Here is a 20,000-nt window from a genome sequence, read left to right on the forward strand (position 1 = left end):
ATGAGTCTTCAAGATGTGTTGACATTACAAAGGACCCTCATTCCAAAACACTGGGAACCCCTGATCCAAGCAGTCTGTGTCCTGGGAGGTGAAGATATGGGGGTCACCTCAGCAGGGCCTGGGGAAAGGCTCTTTGAGGGGAGGGGCTTCTCACCTGCTTTTGTACAGGCAGTGGGGTGGCAGTGGGACTTAGGTAAGTGGGCAGTGAGTGGGCAGGGCCCACATTCCCCAAAGGGAAGAGACTGCGGAGGTGTGGGGGAAGAAACAGTCTGCCCTCAGCTTTTGTTGTGTCCTCCCTGCACTTTCTTACTAGCAGCTGGAGGTCAGAAAAGGGTGTTTGTTCAGGGCTGCTTGAGTGGGTAACGAGCTGAACCTCTCTGAACATGGCTTCCTCTTCACAGCCTCCAGCACCCATGACCTGGCTCACTCCCCTCCTGGCCAGCCAAGACCGGTCAGTTGGAAATAACAGCCCCCAGAGCCAAGGCTGACGCTGGCCCAAGGCACTGGCTGTGTGTTCTGCCCCAGCCCTGTCGGGCCAGCGCCTCCAGTAAGGAAAAGAGACTTGCTCCGTGGAGCTTCCAATGTGTTTTGGGGTGGGAGGTAGGGATTTGGAGAGGAAGTTGGATCACCTAAAATGCTGACAAACAGACGTACCTTTGCACAAACAATGCCAACATGCTGGCAGGATTAAAGTCATTCTTGTTGCTGTGAAACCATTTTGATTATATAAATAAAATAGTGCATCCCCATTGCTGACCTCCAAGATAAGGAAAGCTTGCCCCACATCCATAAAATAAGAATATTCTTTTGAACTAGCCACACCTAGAGGCTGGCTGTCAGGGCTCCTGAGGGGCCCTACTGGAATCACAAGCCATCCTAGCCGGCTTCTGTGCCCTCATTCCTGATGCAGCCTCTTCCTGGGGGGATAATTGAGAAAACCCAACGCGGATCAGGCCCTGGTCTCCATTGGCTCCCTGACCTCGCAGCCAGGGCTACTATCCTGAGTCTTAAGGCTCAGTGGCACCAGTAGCTTTACCTCCAACAGCCAGACCCCGCTCCCAGTTTCAATCCTTGCTCCTCCCCATGGCTTCCAGGATGGACCCAAGCTCCGGAGAGATGTGCGAAGCCCTCCCAGCTCTGGCCTGCTGGCCTCCCAGGCCACGACCACACACACACCCTCTCTCCTGCCACCCCCAGGCCTCCCTCCAGCTCCCCTAGCCAGGCTTCCCTAGCTGGTGTCCCAGGAGCCCGGCCACTTCATCTGTGCCGCTGCTGTTGCACAAGTTCCTGCCCCCCGTGCTCCTGGTGGACACACCCTCAGCCTTTGCATTCCATGTTCATCTACCCCTTGGTCACTCCACAACTCTTTGTGGCCCTGCCCTGGGGTGGGTGCTGGGGGGTATTGAAGAAGACAGAGGCTCTGGGGTCTCATGAGGCTTATGATCTATTCTACTAGAGAGAAGCTGAACAGTTATGCATGTTGTATTTAGTGACAACTGGTATCAGCGCTACCTCGGAAAAGAAGGCTGAATGCAGGAAGAGGATGCCAGGCTGGGGCACTGAGGAAGAGGTGGCGTGTGGCCCGCGGGAAGGCATGAGGGGCTGTCCTTCTGGAACAGGAAGTAGAACATTCTGAAGGGCATGTCACACGTTCTTCAAGCTCACTCTGCCAGCCACTGGAGAATGGACGTAATGGAGCCAAGGATGGCACCAGGAAGTCACGGGGGCAGTGTTTGCTGCTGTCCAGGTAGGAGATGGTGATGGGTGCCCTGTCCCGGGGGGAAGTTGTGGAGGCTGATCCAAGTGCACAGAACAACTCTGAGCTGTAGGAGAGGAAGGGGGCATATCCTTCAGAATTCTCCAGGAAACTTAACCTAGAAGACATAGACAGATAGAGATGTATTACAACGAATTGGCTTGCGTGATTATGGAGGCAGAGAAGTTCCAAGATCTGTGGTCAGCAAGCTGGACACCCAGGAGAGCTAAGGGTACAGTTCCCATCTGAGTTCAAAGGCCTGAGAACCAGGAGAGCCCAGAGTGTAGGTTCCAGTCCAAAAGCTGCAGGCTCAAGACCCAGGAAAAGCTGGTGTTTCAGTCCTAGTCCAAAGGCAGGAAAAAGCCCATGAGCTAGCTCGAAGGCCGGCAGGCAGGAGGAATTCTCTCTTACCTGGGGGAGGGCCAGCCGTGTTCTACTCAGCTCGGGACCCTCAGCTGATCTCATGAGGCCCCCCGACACTGGGGAGGACAATCTACTTTGCGCACTCATCACCTTAAGTGATAAACTCATCCAAAAACAGCCTCACAGAAATGCCCGGAATCAGGTTAGGCCAAGTATCTGGGCACCCCATGCCCCAGTCAAGTTGCCACATAGAATTATTCATGGCAGGGAGTTATGCAGGTTCTGAGAAGCAGTGTGGGGAGGTGGGTGCAGGATGTGCAGACACACACACAGGTGTGGAGCTCAGACAAGAAGAACGAGCAGGGGTACAGCCAGGGCAGTACAGGCATATGGAGGTTATTGGGGCCCCGGGAGGCTGTGGAGGCCCTAAAGGAAACAGGCTGGAGTTCAAGGCACATCCAGGACAGAGCCCTGAGGACCCCCAAAGACCCCACTGCTGGAAGTTTGAGCAGATCGGAAGATGCTGGAGGTAAAAGCACCTGGGAAGGGGCTGGCATGGGACTGGCCCAGGTGGGTCAGAGGGACCCTGTGCAGTGGGGCTCTGCACCCAGTGCACCTACCACTGACCCCTCATGCACCTGCCCATTCACCCAACAGTACAATTCGAGGAGCGAGTGAGAAAATCCTCATCTCCAGCTACCTGTCACCCTACCCCTAGCTTCCCTAGTCTCATTTAAGGAAAAGCAAACCAATTTCCTTTATAGAATGTGCCTGTAAGGCAACGTGACACACAGCTTACAGCAGCCACCAGCAGACTTCACTCATGCCATAAGTGGCGCCCTCTGCCACACTCTTGTCCTCAGAAGCCCGGAGCTCACCGCACAGGGCACCTCAAGATGGGAGGGGAGCGCCTGTTCCACCGACAAAGTTAGATGAGTAAGACACCTACTGCAACCTCACCCCTCACACACACACTCACGCACACACACTCACATTCATGCTCACACGCTCACACTCACGCTAACACTCACACTCATGCTCACACTCACACACTCACACTCATGCTCACACTCACGCCTGCACTCACTCATACACACTCTCACTCACTCTGGTGTCCACACTCTCGGGCTGATGTTCACCAACATACACATATGCATTCACATGCACACACACACACATACATGAACACCTGCACATATACTTGCACTCACATATGCTCACATACACTCACACATACACAATCACACTCACTTTCCCAATACACACATACACATTCTCATTCATTCATGTACCACATGCACACACACACATGCACACTCAAATGCTCACATTCACACACACCACATGCACACTCTCACACACATTCACACACACATGCACACACCACATGCACTCTCAAATTCTCACACACATTCACACGCACATCACATGCACACACACATGCACAATCTCAAACGCTCACACACATTCACACACCCCACATGCACTCTCTCAAACTCTCACATTCACACACACATCACATGCACACACACATGCTCACATTCACACACCCCACATGCACACACTCCTCACACATCCCCATGTTTCCGGCCACACCTGCCATTCCATACCCATTCCCTGTGGCCTGAGAGCCTGTCTGCAGGAGAAGGGGCCTACCCCAGTGCACAGGGAGTGAGGGAGGCTCAGAAGGCCAAGCCATCAGCAGACCATTTAGGGGACCCTTCCAAAGCAGCGGCTCATCATAGAAGTGGCAGTGAAACGCGGAATAAATGGAGTGAGGAGGTGAGGCAGACAGTAAAGGAAGACACGTTTCATAGGAGGCTTTGCTGCCTCAGGGAAACACAGCAGAAGGCAGGACCAGGGTGCAGCCTGTATTAGTCCATTTTCATGCTGCTGACAAAGACATACCCAAGACTGGGTAATTTATAAAGAAAAGAGGTTTAATGGACCCACGGTTCCACGTGGCTGGGGTGGCCTCACATCATAGCAGAAGGCAAAAGTCACATCTTACATGGCGGCAGGCAAGAAAGAGAATGAGAACCACCCCTTTTTCTTGTTTTTTGGTTTTTTTTTTGAGACAGAGTCTCGCTCTATCGCCCAGGCTGGAGTGCAGTGATGCGATTTCGGCTCACTGCAAACTCTGCCTCCTGGGTTCACGCCATTCTCCTGCCTCAGCCACCAGAGTAGCTGGGACTACAGGTGCTCGCCAACATGCCCGGCTAATTTTTTTTTTCTTTTCTTTTTTTAGTAGAGACGGGGTTTCACCATGTTAGCCAGGATGGTCTCCATCTCCTTACCTCGTGACCCACCCACCTTGGCCTCCCAAAGTACTGGGATTACAGGCGTGAGCCACTGCGCCCGGCCTGGTTTCCCCTTATAAAACCATCAGATGGCATGAGACTTATTCACTGCCACTAGAACAGTAAGGGGGAAACTGCGCCCATGATTCAATTATCTCACACTGGGTCCCTCCCACAACACATGGGAATTATGGGAGTACAATTCAAGATAAGATTTGGGTGGGGACACAGCCAAATCATATCACAGCCCTCCACTGTCAGGTGCCTGGCACTGTACAGACGTGGGAATCCAGGCAGGATTCTCTGCCTGAACCTCTCTCATGAAGACGAGGGAACACACAGCAGGCAAATCCCAGGGACAAGCCAGGTCGTGACTTTGTGCCCCTAGTGAAAGAAGGAGCCGATCATTTCATTCATTGTGAGGTGGTCTATGTGCAAACAACATGTGAGCACCATGACTGGCAGTGCTTTAAGACTTCTATAAATTAATATTCAAAATTGAAAATAATAATCAGATTAGATTATTTTGGATTTGGACTTTTTGAATTCATTTCTCTAGCATTTTCATTTCACATATTTTTTAAACTTTTAATATTGAGAGAAGTATGAGCCAATTATCTTTTTCAGGCAATCACAGTATTGGTGTCGTGTCTCAGCAGGCTGGGGGTTGGGGCCCTGGATTCAAAGCATCCATCTGAACATATTGTCACCCGTGCATCCTGAGAGAGACAGCTTCATGGAGTGGAGGTGTGTGGCCTGGAGGCCCCACGTAGGCCACCAGGCATGTTTTCCACGAAAACCGAAACTTCTGACGGGATTACTAACATTGGGAGATTTCCGTTTCTTGGACGCCAGTGGAGGGGCTGCACCAGCCTTAAAAGAAATCATGTGAGCCTCCACGAATCAGCAAACAAAGGAGAAATTAAGGTTCTGCCCACTTTTGTGGTTTTTGCTTTTCTGGAAAGTTTACGTTGTGCATCCTTAAGTCATTACGTAACACTGTATTAATAAGCAGTTGACTCAGAACTCCAGAGGGCTTCTGAGCTGGTGAAGTCCATTCATGTTACTAAGTCTATTCTTCCTCCCAGAATAAAATCTTCCATCTTCTCTGAGTTAGGCCTTCCTCATCAGAACCATTTCTTTTCTCATTCAGCTCTCTGAGGTTTTCTACTTATCATCCAACTGTAGTATCCACTGATAAATTACACGGATTCACAATCCAGCCACTTACTTTGTTTCCTCCTAACATTTGGAATAAGCTACTTCCTGCACCAGAGCCTCTGTCTGTCATGCCTTTACCGGATCTTATTTTGGGGGGCTGACCAGTTGCCTAAACCCACATGCACCCTCTCACCTGGGTTCTCAAGAACTTCTATTTTGGACATCCACCAAAAAAAAAAAAAAAATCTTGTTAAGTAAGATGAACACTTACCTGATGGCAGAAGCCTGTTGTGCTCATCAAAACTTTGAGATAACCAGGGTTCCTGGAATCTAAATCTTCCTATATAAAATAGCAGAGTAGCTGATCAAATAAGAGTCAGACAAGTAAGGGTCAACTTTGGAATCAATAAATGGGGCTGGACCCAGTCATTCACCTACATTCAAACAGCAAATAGGCTGGGTGTGGTGGCTCACATCTGTAATCCCAGCATTTTGCGAGGCAGAGGCAGGCAGATCACGAGGTCAGGAGTTTGAGACCAGCCCGACCAACATGGTGAAACCCCATCTCTACTAAAAATACAAAAATTAGCCAGGTGTGGTGGCCTGCTCCTGTAATCCCAGCTACTCAGGAGGCTGAGGCAGGAGAATCACTTGAACCCGGGAGGCAGAGGTTGCAGTGAGCCAAGATCACACCATTGCACTCCAGCCTGGGCAAAAGAGCGAGACTCCGTCTCAAAAAAAAAAAAAAAAAAAACAACCAGCAAATACCTGTGAACAGCCACCTGGGCTTTGCTGAAAGGTTCTCCCATTTCTGATGAGGGTTTGTCTCTTTTTAAAATTTCATGTACCTAAAAAGTGAATTGATCACAAGAGATTGTATCCAAGGAAAGCCCCTCTCCCAGGAATGTTAAGGGGAGAAATAAATTTGAGCGTAGAGCTGCGGGCTCCTGGGGAAGGAAGTGCTCAGTAAGTATAGTACAAGGCAGCATGACACTAATATGAGGCTGAGGTGACTCTGTAACCACTGGCTGACTACAGTATCAACATCCATACAAAGACAGTAGCAGATTAAAGGAGGACACACATGGCCTGCCCTCAAGCTCATTCACAGCCCACCAAATCAACTCTTTGTTCAGCTTCTTGACTTTTCACAGTCTGCTGGCTTCAAGATGTTTTCCCTGGCCTTCTTCTAATGCCTCTTCCCTAATCCCAGGTAAAATTACTGAGGGGGGTTACTCATTCGATATATATGTAAGTTATTTGAGAAAGTTTATTAAGGCACAGTGGCTCACGCCTGTAATCCCAGCACTTTGGGAGGCCAAGGTGGGTGAATCACAAGGTCAGGAGTTCAAGACCAGCCTGGCCAAGATGGTGAAACACCGTCTCTACTAAAAATACAAAAATTAGCAGGGCATGGTGGTGAGCGCCTGTAATTCCAGCTACTTGGGAGGCTGAGCAGAGAATTTCTTCAACCTGGGAGGTGGAGGTTGCAGCGAGCCAAGATCGTGCCACTGCACTCCAGCCTGGGTGACTGAGCGAGACTCCATCTCAAAAAAAAAAAAATGCTATCCACAAAGTTGGATAAGTACAGAAACATTGTCCCAGGAAATGAAGCCAGTGATTAGGGCAGGGGTTGGCAAGTGTTTTCTGTAAGAACCACATAGTAAATATTTTCGGCTTTTACTGGCCCATTTGGTCTTTGTTGCAACTGCTCAACTCTGCCATCAAAATGCAGGCAACAGCCGTGGATAATATGTAGTGAATGGGCATGAGCATTGTCTTAGTTAATTTTCTGTTGCTTAAAACAGAATGCCTAAAACTGGGTCATTTATAAAGAAAAGGAATTTATTTCTTACAGTTATGGAGGCTGAGAAGTCTCAGGTCAAGAGGCCACATCTGGTGAAGATCCTCTTGCTAGCCAGGACTCTCTACAGAGTCCTGTGGTGGTTGGTGCAGGGCAACCTGTGGTGAGAGGACTCAAGTCTCACTTCCTCTTGCTACAAAGCCGCCAGTTTCCCTGCCACTGTCTCCCTTCCTCTTCTTACAAAACTGCCAGTTTCCTTGCGATGATAAACCACCAATCCATTAATGCATTAATCCATTAATCCATGAATAGATTAATCCATTCATGAGGGCAGAGTTCCCATGCCCCCATCACTTCTTAAAGGCCCTATCTCTTAATATAGTGACGTTAGAGACTAAGTTTCAACATGAGTTTTGGAGAGGACATTCAAACCATAGAAGTGTGTTCTAATGAAACCACGTTTATGGATGCTAAAATGTAAACATATAATTTTCATGTTCCACAAAATATTGTTCTTCTTCTGATGTTTTCCCACACTATTAAAATATAATACTATGACTAGCTTGTGAGCCACATGAAAAGAGGCGGCAGGCTAGATTCGGGCTGTGGGCTGCAGTTCGCTGGCATCTGCTCTAGGGCCACTCTCTCAGTAACAAAAACGTGCATTCGCCTCTAATAACACGCATGTACATGTGACACTACTCAAACAGTGAGCAAGCTGAGACTGAAAAACGTATCAGTTGACACTCCAGAATGTTCTTGCTGAAATCCTTCAGTGGATCATCTCATAAAGTCCTGGGAATGCACGCTGAGGCATCCAACCTAGAAAATGAGATGAGAAACTCCTGTAAGATTTGAGTGTTCTGTTAGCCCACCATCTCCAGAGATTAAATAAATAATAATAACTATGGTGCATTCAACATCTCAATCTGAGATGTTTTAGTAAAATGAAGGCATGCTCGCATGTATTCACAAAGCCTAGAGGTGAGAAATAGAAAAGATCTCAGTATTTCAAATCTGAGTAGCGCTGTGCTTGTATCATTCAGCTCAAAATCTGCAGAAGCACTTAGACCAGTTAAAACTGTGCAATGCGGTCAAGCGTTCAAATATTTTATCTCGATCAAGAAGGAGGATGTGGGATGATGTGGGATGCCCTGCATCTTCCCCTCCCTTTTTTCCTGGAGGGTTTGAAGCCATCCCAATTCATTTTTTTCCAAAGTCTGACAATAACTCAGTGGGTCATCCCAGCCTTGGAACGAGCCATTCCTGGATGCCATGGAAATTGTCTATGGGGGATGCCTCCCCAGCTATCTTCTGCAGCCTACATCTGGACCAGTCAATAATCTGAACCCTCAGCTTTCTGGATGTGAATCTTTCCCCAGACTAGCTGAGAACTAGGGGTTACTCAAGAATGCACTAAACAATTCTTCCCCCACTACCCTGTACCTCCACAATCAAAAGTGTTAGGGGCCAGGCAGGGTGGCTCATGCCTGTAACCCCAGCACTTTGGGAGACGGAGACAGGTGGCTCGCTTGAGCCCAGGAGTTCGAGATCAGTCTGGACAATATGGCGAAACCCTGTCTCTACTAAAAATACAAAAAAATTAGCTAGGCGTGGTGGTGGGTGCCTGTAATCCCAGCTACTCAGGAGGTTGAGGCAGGAGAATCACTTGAATCTGGGAGGTGGAGGCTGCAGTGAGCGGAGATCGCACCACTGCACTCCAACTGAGGCAACAGAGCGAGATTCCATCTCAAATAAATGAAGAAATAAAATGAAAATAAAAAAGAGTGTTAGGAATAAAGCCTGTCAAATCATCATTACTGCTCCTAAGCATCTCTGGGTGCTTCTGAAATTGCTGTTAGGCTATTTGCAAGACACTGAACATTCCAGAAAGTGTGCTAGAGCATTGAGAATTCCCTCAGGGACTGTAGCTGCAGACCTTGCTCTCACATGCAAGGTGACCACGTGGCCTGCACGTTCCAGGACAGTGCCTGCTGCAAACAGTCTACCCCTTTACCTTTTACATAACTGTACTCACCGATCAGGAAAACAGACCTTGGTCAGACAGAAGCGATGGTCATAATCTCTCTGCAGATGGACTTCTAACTACATTTCTTCAAATTGCAACAAATGTAAATACAATCAGTCATACACACTCTATGCTACCACCTTCTCCCATTTTAGGGTGTTGAAAGCCCAAATTAATCACGGCTGGGTGGGGCAACTCACACCTGTAATCCCAGCACTTTGGGAGGCCCAGGCGGGGGTGGATCGCTTGAGTTTAGGAGTTTGAGACCAGCTTGGGCAACACGGCAAGGCCCCATCTCTACAAAAAAATACAAAAATTAGCCAAGCATGGTGGTGTGCTCCTGTGGTTCCAGCTACTCAGGAGGCTGAGACAGGAGGATTGCTTGAGCACAGGAGGTCGAGGCTGCAGTGAGCTGTGATCACACCACTGCACTCTAGCCTGGGTCATACAGTGAAATCCCGTCTCAAAGGAAAAAAAAAAAGTCACATGTGAAAACTTCTGGAGAGTCCAAAGACAAACACCATAGCTCATGGGCCATTAAGACAATCTGTACAAACACTCAATGAACCAATATGAAGACAGAAATCCTGGTGAATTGTATATGTATTCCAGAAGATTAAAATCAGGAAGGCAAAGGAAAATGGAGAGCTGGCACTTGGCACCCATGAAAGACCCACTTTCCCTGCCCTACCAGGTGGCATTTCTCCTTCCCACCCTCAGGATCAGCCTGGCATCAGCGATTATCTCAGCCCACTGAGGCCTGGATGCTGCTGGCTGATTTTTGTCTCTGCAGTCAGGAGCCAACCACAGGCCTCCTGAACCTCCAGCACCCTGGCTCACCCAGGACAACAACACAGATCAACTCCCAAATAAATTCCTCTCTGTTGTCCTGCAATGTGCTAATTGCCCATAATGAGCACATCATAATAATTAAGGATGACTACGCCAAACCTTTGACTGAGGTAGCAATCCTTCACCCACAAATGGCAAGGCCTTTCCTAAATCTTAATTAAAGAGCACACCAGCCACCTGAGCTGAGGCAGAGTTCTCCCACTTTCGAGATGGGGAAAATGGAGGCTCAGGGTGGCAGGTTTCTTATTCTATTCCATAAGGCACACTTGTACATTTTAATTGGTTTAAATTAAGTGCTATACATAACCTATAAGGAGGTTGTTAAATAAATTGCTTAGCCGTTGCAAAGAATGATAGGTAGTTGTAAAAATTCATGTTTTGAAGACATGGGAAAATGCTTGTTATGGAATTTTAAGAGAAATTAAGAAAGATAAGTGTTGTATTTGTAGGACGGTCTTGGTCGAGTGTGAAAATACCCGTGCTGGTGTGTGTTTGTGTGTATCAAGAGTAGATCATAATGTTAACACGGGTTCGCAGTTTCTTGGGTGATTCAAGATGAATTTTCATGTTTTCTATACTTTTTTGTCATTTCCAGATTTTCTACAACAAACATTTAATCTTTTATAATAAGAAAAAGATACATGTTTTAAAGATTTTTAAAGGTATTTTACTTTTTTTAAAAAAAGATATTTTAAAAGACTTTCCTATTCTGTTTTAAATCAGGCTCCTTGGCCCTCCCTTATTAACTCTTTAAATGCATGCAGGACATTCGCTCGGCAGCCTTCTTCTCCTGGGTCACCTGTACTTGGGTTTGTGGTGAATTGTCAAGCATGTCAGCGGGGTGGGACTCCTGCTTCAGGGGATGCCTCCCTGGAATTCACTCAGAGCGGTTGGGAATATCCAGCAAAGTCTGGGGATGCAATGTGTGGCCAAATCCCAGGTCTCCATCCAGAAGCCCCTGTGGCCCCTGCTCAGAGTCCATGGAGTGACCTTTGTGGCCACAGCTTTCCAGGAAACAGACGTGTGTGCCGGGCACCTCCTTCTCAGCCCACCCAGCTGTCTGGTGGTCAGCGAGAGGAGAAAAGGCAGCCCCAACATCAAAGACATAGCAACTGCCTGGTGACTTCCTCCCCGGCCAGCTGGAGGTGTCAGCTCGAGGCCGGACTCTGTTTCCTGCTGCCAGGGCAGCTGCTTCCCTCTTCCCTTCAACTCAGAGGTGAAAGGTTCGCACCATCTGCAAACGCCACCCTCCAGCATTTGACTCCCACACCCTAAACAAAACAGCAACCAGACATCATGAGCCCAAACTGAAACCCACCCCCCACCCCAAGGATGGGCAATGTGGAGAGACCTTTGCCCACCAACAACATTTTCCCACTACACCCCAAAAGGAAGAAGCCATCCTCCCTTAAACGCCTTCCGATCTGACCCTGGATGCTCAGGCCGCTTGGCTGTTCCCGGGTGCAGGGTCAGGGACCCTGGGAGGCTCCGAGTTGCTCAATGCCTCTGAGCACAGGCTGACTCTCTTCACAGCAATCTGGGGAATTTGGGCTGTTCTGGGGTGGAGCTGGGGACAACGGTGTGTGTCGGGCAACAGCAGCGGCCTCGACTTGTTCTGGCTTTTGGCTCTGCAGGGAAATCCAGGCAGATTGGGACTGAGGAAGGCTGGGTGGGTGGGCAGGGCTGGTGGACATGGGGAGCAAGGTGGTGGGCCACCCCGTTGACAGACCTCTCCGGGAGAGAAGCCTGTTGGAGCTGGGCCTGGGCGCAAAGGGGGAGAGAGGGTGAGGCGCTCTGGGAGGGAGCCCTGAACACAAGCTGCGGGAGGGGGGAAGGGAGGAGGAAAGGGGACGGGCCTGGGTCCCCCTGTGGAGGGCTGAGCTGGGGACAGGCACAGAGCAGAAAGGAAGCCATCTACCCTTTAAAATGCCTTCAAAAAAATAATCCCAGGACTCCCTTGTACCTTCCAACTTGCCTGTCGGCATCTATTCAGTGTTTTTCGTGTGGCACTCAAAGAAGAGAAACACAGTCTGTGCCACGGCGGGCTGGCCAGCTGCGGGGAACCCTCCCATTTGGAGGGAAAATGAAGACTGCAGGATGGTGGAGAGAAACGTGGGGGCCTCCTGGCCAGCCCTCTTTTCCCCGGCTCCAGAAAGCACTATGAGAATTCCTCGAGCCCTCTCATGTTTATAGCTTCTGACCCACACCTGGCTGGTCTTCCAGGTGGGTCCAGTTCTTTCCTCTCTCCTAGCACCCACCCAGCCCCCAACACGCATCCCCAGGATCCCCCAATACCACGCCTCCAACTCCGCCTCTGGCGCCCTTAGGTTCCATGCGAGGGTTCCTCCGGCATGCGCCATGGAAGCTGTGGCTCAGGAAAGCCTCATTCACATGCTTGGCAACCGCACACTGGAAAGCAGCCAGCAGCCCCAGGAGCCACACTTCACCTGATCCATCCACAAAATGGGCTGAACGGACCCAAGGCGAGAGAGCCAGGTCCAGCCGCCCAGCTGGCCAGACCTGTGCACTCGCTAGGGCACGATGTCAGTCATAGCCTCGACTGTTGTTAATCCCACAGACAGGTGGCTTTTGGTCCCAAATTTGTGACAGGCACGAATCACGGAGCTGGGAATCCGGAAGACTTGGATTCCCACCTCGCTTCTGGCTCCCGATGCTGTGGAACTATAATTCAGCCTCCACTTCCTCATTTATCAGAAGTTGTTGATGAGATGCCTTGGAAATTCTTGCCAACTGTAAAATCAAAGAGATGGCAAGGACAAACCACGTGCCTTCAGAAAGTGCTTCCCCAGGCACCTGCATGCTCACTCTCTTACCCATGTCTCCACCCCTAATCCCTCCAATGCCCCAGGAGGGGGCTGGGTGAGTGTTGGGTGGCAGTGAGACCCAGTCACCCAGCTGGTGAGCAGGTGAGCCAAGACCACACCCAGGGCCGCCGTCCTACCTCCCAGTCAATCATGCATATGGGAGATAGATAAAGCCCTAAATGCTCATTTGGAGCTGCTTGAGAAGAGAATATAATTCATGGGCCAAAGATACAGAAATGTCTTTCCCAGTGGGAGGCAAGCCGGTGGCACCTGCTCTCCAGGGCCTAACACCCTCATTTCCGCCTCTCCGGTACCTGATGCTATCAGAGGATTGACTCCCTCTAAAGGCCAACCTGAGACCTTCACTCAGCTCAAAATGTGGTTCAGGGAGAGAAACTAACAAAAGGGAATGGGAGTGGGGGGAAGAAAAATCATCTTTTTCTGCCACCAAAGAACAGCTGCAAACATAGAGAACGTGAAGTAGCCGGGAAGTCGTCGTGGCTGGTGTGAATTCAGTCCCAGGGGAATCGGCCGCACTGAAGTGCTGAGCGAACGCTGCCCAGAGAAAGGCAAGCCCAGCGAAAAGGCAGGCCCCTCCCAAGGTCAAGGCTTCCTCGATTCGGAGGCAGCCTTCCATCGCAAACTGCACCCCCGCCCACAGTGTCAGGCTGCAGCGTCAGGAACAAAACCAGCAGCCCAGAGTTGATGAGGCGCAGGCGGTGCCCAGGCCCATGGGAGGGTTAATTAAGGCCGCCCTGAGCTGCATACCTGAGTCTCAACACTTGGGCTGAACTGCAGACCTGAGTGCCGAGGACATGGGGCCAAAAGCCGAGAAGGAATGTGAGGCTGCCCACGCGGCCATCTTGGCCGGCAGCCACGGCTGACCTGGAGGGGTGAAGGCCTGGGATGCCATTCCTCCACAGAAGACTGCATTAGCCAGGGCTGGAGGAACGCCAAGGCCATGACCCACAGAAGCCCATGAGAGGCTGAGGCCCAGCCCGGCCCATCTTCTCAAGCCTGGCTTGACCCCCACCTGTGACATCCTGCTTGGTCCCGGAATCAGTGTGATGTGATCAGGAAAGGCGAATTTCTGCTGTGTATTTGACAGAATATCAACTCAGAGTCCCTGGGGCTGCCACAACAAAGTAACACAAACCAGGAGGCTTAAAACAACGGAAATGTATTGTCTCACCTTTCTGGAGGCAAGAAGTCCAAAATCAAGGCTGCTGTCCCTCTGAGACTCCAGACAGAGCCCCCCTTGCCTCCTCTAGCTTCCGATGGTGACCATCAACCCTTGGCACTCCTCAGCTGGCAGCTGCATCGCTCCACTCGCTGCCTCCATCGTCACACTCCATGTGTGTCTATGTCTCCAAATCACATTTTCCTCTACCTATAAGGACCAGCCATATTACAATGGGATCCCACCCTAATAACCTCCTCTTTACTTGATCACAACCACAAAGACCCTATCTCAGCATCACTCCAATCTCTGCCTTCATTGTCACAATCCATGTGTGTCTGTGTCTCCACGTCACATTTTCCTCTACTTACAAGAACAAGCCATATTAGATTGGGATGCACCCTAATGACCACCTCAACCTGCTTACATCTGCAAAGACCCTATCTCCAAATAAGTGCTCGTTTCCAAACACCAGGGGTTGGAACTTAAACACATCTTTTTGAGGGACACAATTTGACCCACAACAGAATCCTAACACTTGGGCTGAAAAGAAAGAAAAACGTCACAGCTCAAAAATCTTTATAAAATAAGCATTATTGTTTAAAAATATAGAGAAATAGCCTGAAGATACATCATCTGGAGCTTTCATTTGTTGGACTATTATGCAGTCACTGAAAACTATTATTCAGAGACAATGGGATGAGGTGACAATATATTTCTAACAATCTTAAGTGATACCTATGGTGGTGATGATGTGAAAACGTCACATGAATAATGAGGCCAGGGTGGGGAGATGAAACTGCTGTGGGGGAGTTGGGAGATTATGGACAATTTTTCTCATTATATTTTTTATCTTAAACTTCTTTGTATTTAATATTTATTTATATATTTATTTTTAAATTAATATTAATTAAGTGTATATTTGTATTTAAATATTTTTAAATTAAAAAGAAAGGGGAAAAGGTGAGCTTCAGCTTACACTCAGCGACTATAGGATTTGGGAAGGTATTAACCTCTGCACTCAGTTGTTTTTTTTGTTTTCTTTTGTTTTGTTTTGTTTTGAGACAGAGTCTCACTCTGTCACCCAGGCTGGAGTGCAGCAGCATGCTCTCAGCTCACTGCAACCTCCTTCACCTCCCGGATTCAAATGATTCTCCTGCCTCAGCCTCCCAAGTAGCTGGTGTTACAGGCATGCACCACCATGCCTGGCTAATTTTTTGTATTTTTAACAGAGACAGGGTGTCACCATGTTGGCCAGGCTGGTCTTGAACTCCTGACCTCAGGTGATCTGCCCACCTCGGCCTCCCAAAGTGCTGGGATTACAGGTGTGAGCCACCTGCAGCCGGCCTGCACTTAGTTTTCTAAGTGCACATTAGGCGAAACATACATCCCTTCCACCTCTGAGGGCAGCTGGGGTACTGACACAGCTGAAATGAATGTGTTAGGCCATTTTTGCATTGCCATAAAGAAATATCTGAGGCTGGATAACTTTAAAAAAAAAAAAAAAAAGAGGTTTATTTAGCTCACAGTTCTGCAGGCTGTACAGGAAGTGTGATGCCAGCATCTGCTCAGCTTCTGGGGAGGCCTCTGGGAGCTCTCACTCATGGTGGAAAGCAAGGGGGTGGGGTACACACATCACACTCGAGAGCAGGAGCATGAGAGAAAACGGGAGGTCCCAGACACTTTTGAACAACCAGATCTCACGTGAAATGAGTGAGAACTCGCTCATCACCAAGGGAATGGTGCTAAGTCATTCATGAGGATCCACCGCCATGACCCAACACCTCCCACCAGGCCCCACCTCCAACATCTGGGATCGAATTTCAGCATGAGATTTGGAAGGGGCGAACATCCAAACAGTAGCAATGTCCTAAGGATGCAACCCCCCCACCCCCCGGAGAACTCTACGGCATTCTAATGAAACGGTTCGCCCTTCATGTTATTACAGAGCAAGGCTGCATTTCCATCATTGTCCTTTTAAATGCTTAAGTGAGCCCAGTTACCAATCAATACTACTGACAACAGGAAGAGGAAAAGAAGGAAGAATCAGCGATACAAAGAGCACAAAGTCAAAATGAGTCCAACCACTGGACATGGGTGTCACTGGCAGAAACTTCCAGAAGCTTGGTTCAACATTACCTGCCACAGGCTCAACCTTAAGGCTTTGAGCTGATACAAGAACTCCAAGAATTGTTTCCTGGCACAATTTCACTCATTTGCCAAGTTCTACAGCGTGGGAACCTGCAAAGCCTCCCCATCTCATCACCACTACGTGACCCATTCGTTCCACACTGGCCTACGGGGCGTCCATCCAGGGAGGCGTGTAGCTGTGGCCAGGATGCAGCAGAGGACATCTCGGAGTCCCTGCCCTCATGGGCTCCTGGGACTGTGAAGGGGACAGTCAACAAACAGAAGAGTGCTGGGAGTGTCAAGAGGTGATGATCGCCCAGAGGAAAAGACAAGGTGAGAGGGGAGCCCAGCCCAGGGTCGAGTTCTCGGGGGCGGGACGTTTGCACAAAGATGCTGTGAAGTGTGGGGGGAGCAAGCATTCCTGTACTCAGGGGACAGAATGTCTCATCCAAAAAGGACCAGCAGGTGCTTCCAGGAACATCAAGAAGCAGGTGTGTCTGGGGCAGAGCAAGTGAGCAAGAGACAGGAGGAAAGAGGCCAGAGGGAGGCTGGGGCCAGAACAGTCAGGGCCTGGAAGCAAAGGTCCAGACTCCAGATTTTATTCTTCGTGAGAAGGGGGCCGCTGCAGGGCTTTGAGAAGGCAGTGTCACTTTTTTTTTTTTTTAAATAGAGTCTTGCTCTGTCACCCAGGCTGGAGTGCAGTGGCATGATCTCAGCTCACTGCAACCTCTGACTCCTGGGTTCAAGTGATTCCCCTGCGTCAGACTCCCAAGTAGCTAGGACCACAGCTACATGCCACCACGCCCAGCTTATTTTTGTATTTTTAGAGACGGGGTTTCACTATGTTGGCCAGGCTGGTTTCAAACTCCTGACTTCAGGTGATCCTCCAGCCTTGGCTTCCCAAAGGGCTGGGATTACATGTGTGAGCAACCGAAACCAACCAGCAGTGTCACCTTTAAAGGGATATCTCTGGATGCTGTGTAGAGAACAGCTGGGGTATGGTACCCAGAGTGAGGAAGGGGCCAGGGCAATAGCTGTGGGGTTGCTGAGAGGGGGCAGACTCTGGACAATTGTTGAGGGATTTGCACAGAGCATGCCAGGATTCAACAAGCCCAGCATGTCCACCTTTGGAGCCAGGACCCCAGGGGAGCCACAGCAGGGCCAGAGCAGAGGAGAGAGAAGACACACTGGGATCCATCAGCACCTCTGCCTCCATCCATTGATTTTCTGAGACTCACACTAGTTCCTCTTGAGGGGTTGTTATGTAAAATACAGGATGCCCCACTAAATTTGAATTGCAGATCAACAGTGGATAATTTTTTAGGCATAAGTATTTCCCATGCAATACATGGGATATGGTTACACTGAAAATTTGCTATGATTGATCTGCATTCAACTTTAAATAGAAGTTCTGTTATTTTGTTTGTTAAATGGGCCAAGTTCTATCAGAACTCCCCAAAAAAGGAGACTCTGGAAAATGTATTCCCAGCTTGACCAAGACAGAGCTCCTGTCCCCAGGAACTGACAAAAACAACCACTACCAACACTGAGTGCTTACCATGCACCCAGCACTGTGCCCACATGTTCAGCACTTCATCTAATTCCACAGCCCAGAGGATTACATTTTATTACTACTGGTTTGCAGATGAGAAAACTGAGGTTCACAAAGATACGCCAACTTACCAAAATTACACAGGTGGGCATAATAATAGCTAACACTTACACAGCACATGTAAGCTCAGGCATGGATCTAAATGGATCTCACTTAATCCTTTTTCACAGCTCTATGAGACAGGAACTGTTATTGAACCCATTTTACAGATAAGGAAACTAAATCGTATTGGTGTTAAGTGGCCCAGTCAGGATTTGAACCCAGGCAGTGTGGCTGCAGAATCTGTGCTCTTACCTAGCATCTTAAACTACCACTGAACCACTTCTGAGGCCACCTCCCCACTCTTAATGAAACAACATTAATGCACAAGAAACACTCAGAGAGTCCTAGTGGCAGGAATGGGGCAAACTGACAACAGAGGAGATGGAAATCATTGAGGATTGGGGGAACCTAGGGAGGGTTCATGGAGGAGGAGGCAGACAAGTAGGATATCTGAACAGTTGGAAGATGTGGCAAAAGGGAGGCTGACTAAACACCCATGTTAGGAACTATAAATACATGAAGTAAATATCACTGATTACTGAGTTCTTCATATAAGCCAGGTGCTGTACTAAGCTTAGAATTTATCTCCCTCTAGACTGGGTAATACAGTGAGACTCCATCTCTACAAAAAATTGAAAAATTAGCCAGGCATGGTGCTCATGCCTGCAGTCCCAGCTACTCAGGAGGCTGCAGTGAGAGGATCCCTTGAGCCCAGGAGGTTGAGGCTGCAGTGAGCTGTGATTGCACCACTGCTGTCCGGTTTGGGTGACAGAGCAAGGCCTTTGTCTCAAAGAAAAAAAAATACCTCTCTCAGTCCTTGAAGTCATCCCCAAGGCAATATGGTCCCCATCTTGCACACTAGAAAACTGGGATTCAGGGAGGCCAAGCAACTTGCCTGAGGTCACCCCATCAGGAACAGACAGATGCAGGATTGCAACCACCACGGCAACTTCAAAGCCAGTGCACCTGCCATGTTTCCTTCCCTCTTGGCATGCCTGGAAGGACTTCCATCCCTAAAGTCAAAACAGGCACTTGCAGAATGGCTGGATTCAACAAGGTCATCATGGCTTCTGAAAGAAACAGAGCAAGGGGATTTGCTCTGAGAAATACAGCCTCCATCTCAGAACCCTGCAAAGATGCCCTCCCTGGCTGTCTGAGCAGCCTTTGCTGTCAGGCCCTGTTGGCAGAGGAAAAGTGAGCCGCCTGCCCTGGGTCAGGGAGAGCTGCAGCCCCCTCCTTGGGCAGAGATTTCACCCAACAGAGAAAACCTGGGTGGAAAATTGCATCCAGGAAGAATAGAGGAAAGACAAAGGAAATGGCTGCCTTCTCCCCTGGGCACCCGCCCCCACGGCCACCACCTCTGTTGCTCACAACTTTATCCATTCCTTTCCTTGGGAATCCACGGGTGTTCCAAGAGCTCTTTAGTGCAGTGCTTCAGAGCTTTGACTTTAGGGCAAGATTTGGCCACTGTGAGCAATCTGATGACTCCGTTTCTGTTTCTAAAAACCTTCAGGAGGCAAATGCAGAAATAAGTACAAAAAAAGTGAGCAAACCTAGAGAAAACCTGCCAGCCTGGAAGAGAGAATGGATGTGCCTATGGGCAAGGCCATCCATACGCATGATGACCAGGCTAACTGTGAATCACAGATTAGAACTGGGGCAGCTCTGGGTGTTAGAATGCAACGTGGAAGCATTAATGAATCCCAGCATTCAGCTGGGATTCCAGAAAAATGGAGTTTGGCAGATGCAGACTCCTTGTCTAAGACTTCTTTTAGGAGCCCTCCTTGCGTTGTGGTATCTTCTATTTGCTCCATCAGCCCTGGGCTCTCAGTGATTGGAGGGGTCTGTGTGAGTGGTTCCAGACCAGCTCAGTATGTTACTAGGTTGTATTATCAAGTAGAAGCCTGCAGCTTCTGTAGCAGTCTCTGTGCTTTTTCTCGATAGTG

General features: G+C 49.1%; 2 long non-coding RNA genes across 7 annotated transcripts in view, besides 3 other annotated features; both read right to left on the reverse strand.

The window, feature by feature from the left end:
* The window catches only part of LINC02940 (long intergenic non-protein coding RNA 2940), a 33,906-nt gene extending 24,225 nt beyond the window's left edge, over positions 1-9,681 (reverse strand). For 3 of the 5 annotated variants that reach the window (XR_007067867.1, XR_007067866.1, XR_007067865.1), the window contains exons 1-2: positions 9,423-9,681; positions 1,513-8,206 (exon numbers count right to left, since the gene is read on the reverse strand). This is a non-coding gene — a long non-coding RNA (long intergenic non-protein coding RNA 2940). The remainder of the gene's footprint in view (positions 1-1,512; positions 8,207-9,422) is intronic. The other 2 variants (XR_007067868.1, XR_007067869.1) reach the window with 2 other exon arrangements.
* Positions 7,616-7,685: an enhancer, noted in NCBI's record as "active region_18465". NCBI's record gives its function as "activates an Ori minimal core promoter by ATAC-STARR-seq in GM12878 lymphoblastoid cells {active_cell/tissue: GM12878}" and the evidence as "EXISTENCE:reporter gene assay evidence [ECO:0000049][PMID:35858748]".
* Positions 12,316-12,816: an enhancer, noted in NCBI's record as "H3K4me1 hESC enhancer chr21:40393817-40394317 (GRCh37/hg19 assembly coordinates)". NCBI's record gives its function as "activates a minimal SCP1, AML or CMV promoter by ChIP-STARR-seq in naive H9 embryonic stem cells {active_cell/tissue: H9 hESC(naive)}" and the evidence as "EXISTENCE:reporter gene assay evidence [ECO:0000049][PMID:30033119]".
* Positions 13,824-14,389: an enhancer, noted in NCBI's record as "H3K27ac-H3K4me1 hESC enhancer chr21:40395325-40395890 (GRCh37/hg19 assembly coordinates)". NCBI's record gives its function as "activates a minimal SCP1, AML or CMV promoter by ChIP-STARR-seq in primed H9 embryonic stem cells {active_cell/tissue: H9 hESC(primed)}" and the evidence as "EXISTENCE:reporter gene assay evidence [ECO:0000049][PMID:30033119]".
* Positions 18,949-20,000, reverse strand: part of LINC02943 (long intergenic non-protein coding RNA 2943) — a 56,010-nt gene continuing 54,958 nt past the window's right edge. Inside the window, exons 6-7 of one of the 2 annotated variants that reach the window (XR_001755055.2) lie at positions 19,426-19,561; positions 18,949-19,124 (exon numbers count right to left, since the gene is read on the reverse strand). This is a non-coding gene — a long non-coding RNA (long intergenic non-protein coding RNA 2943). The remainder of the gene's footprint in view (positions 19,125-19,425; positions 19,562-20,000) is intronic. The other variant, XR_001755054.1, reaches the window with a different exon arrangement.

The sequence above is a fragment of the Homo sapiens genome, chromosome 21 (genome assembly GCF_000001405.40).
Source record: "Homo sapiens chromosome 21, GRCh38.p14 Primary Assembly".
Lineage (NCBI taxonomy): Eukaryota > Metazoa > Chordata > Mammalia > Primates > Hominidae > Homo > Homo sapiens.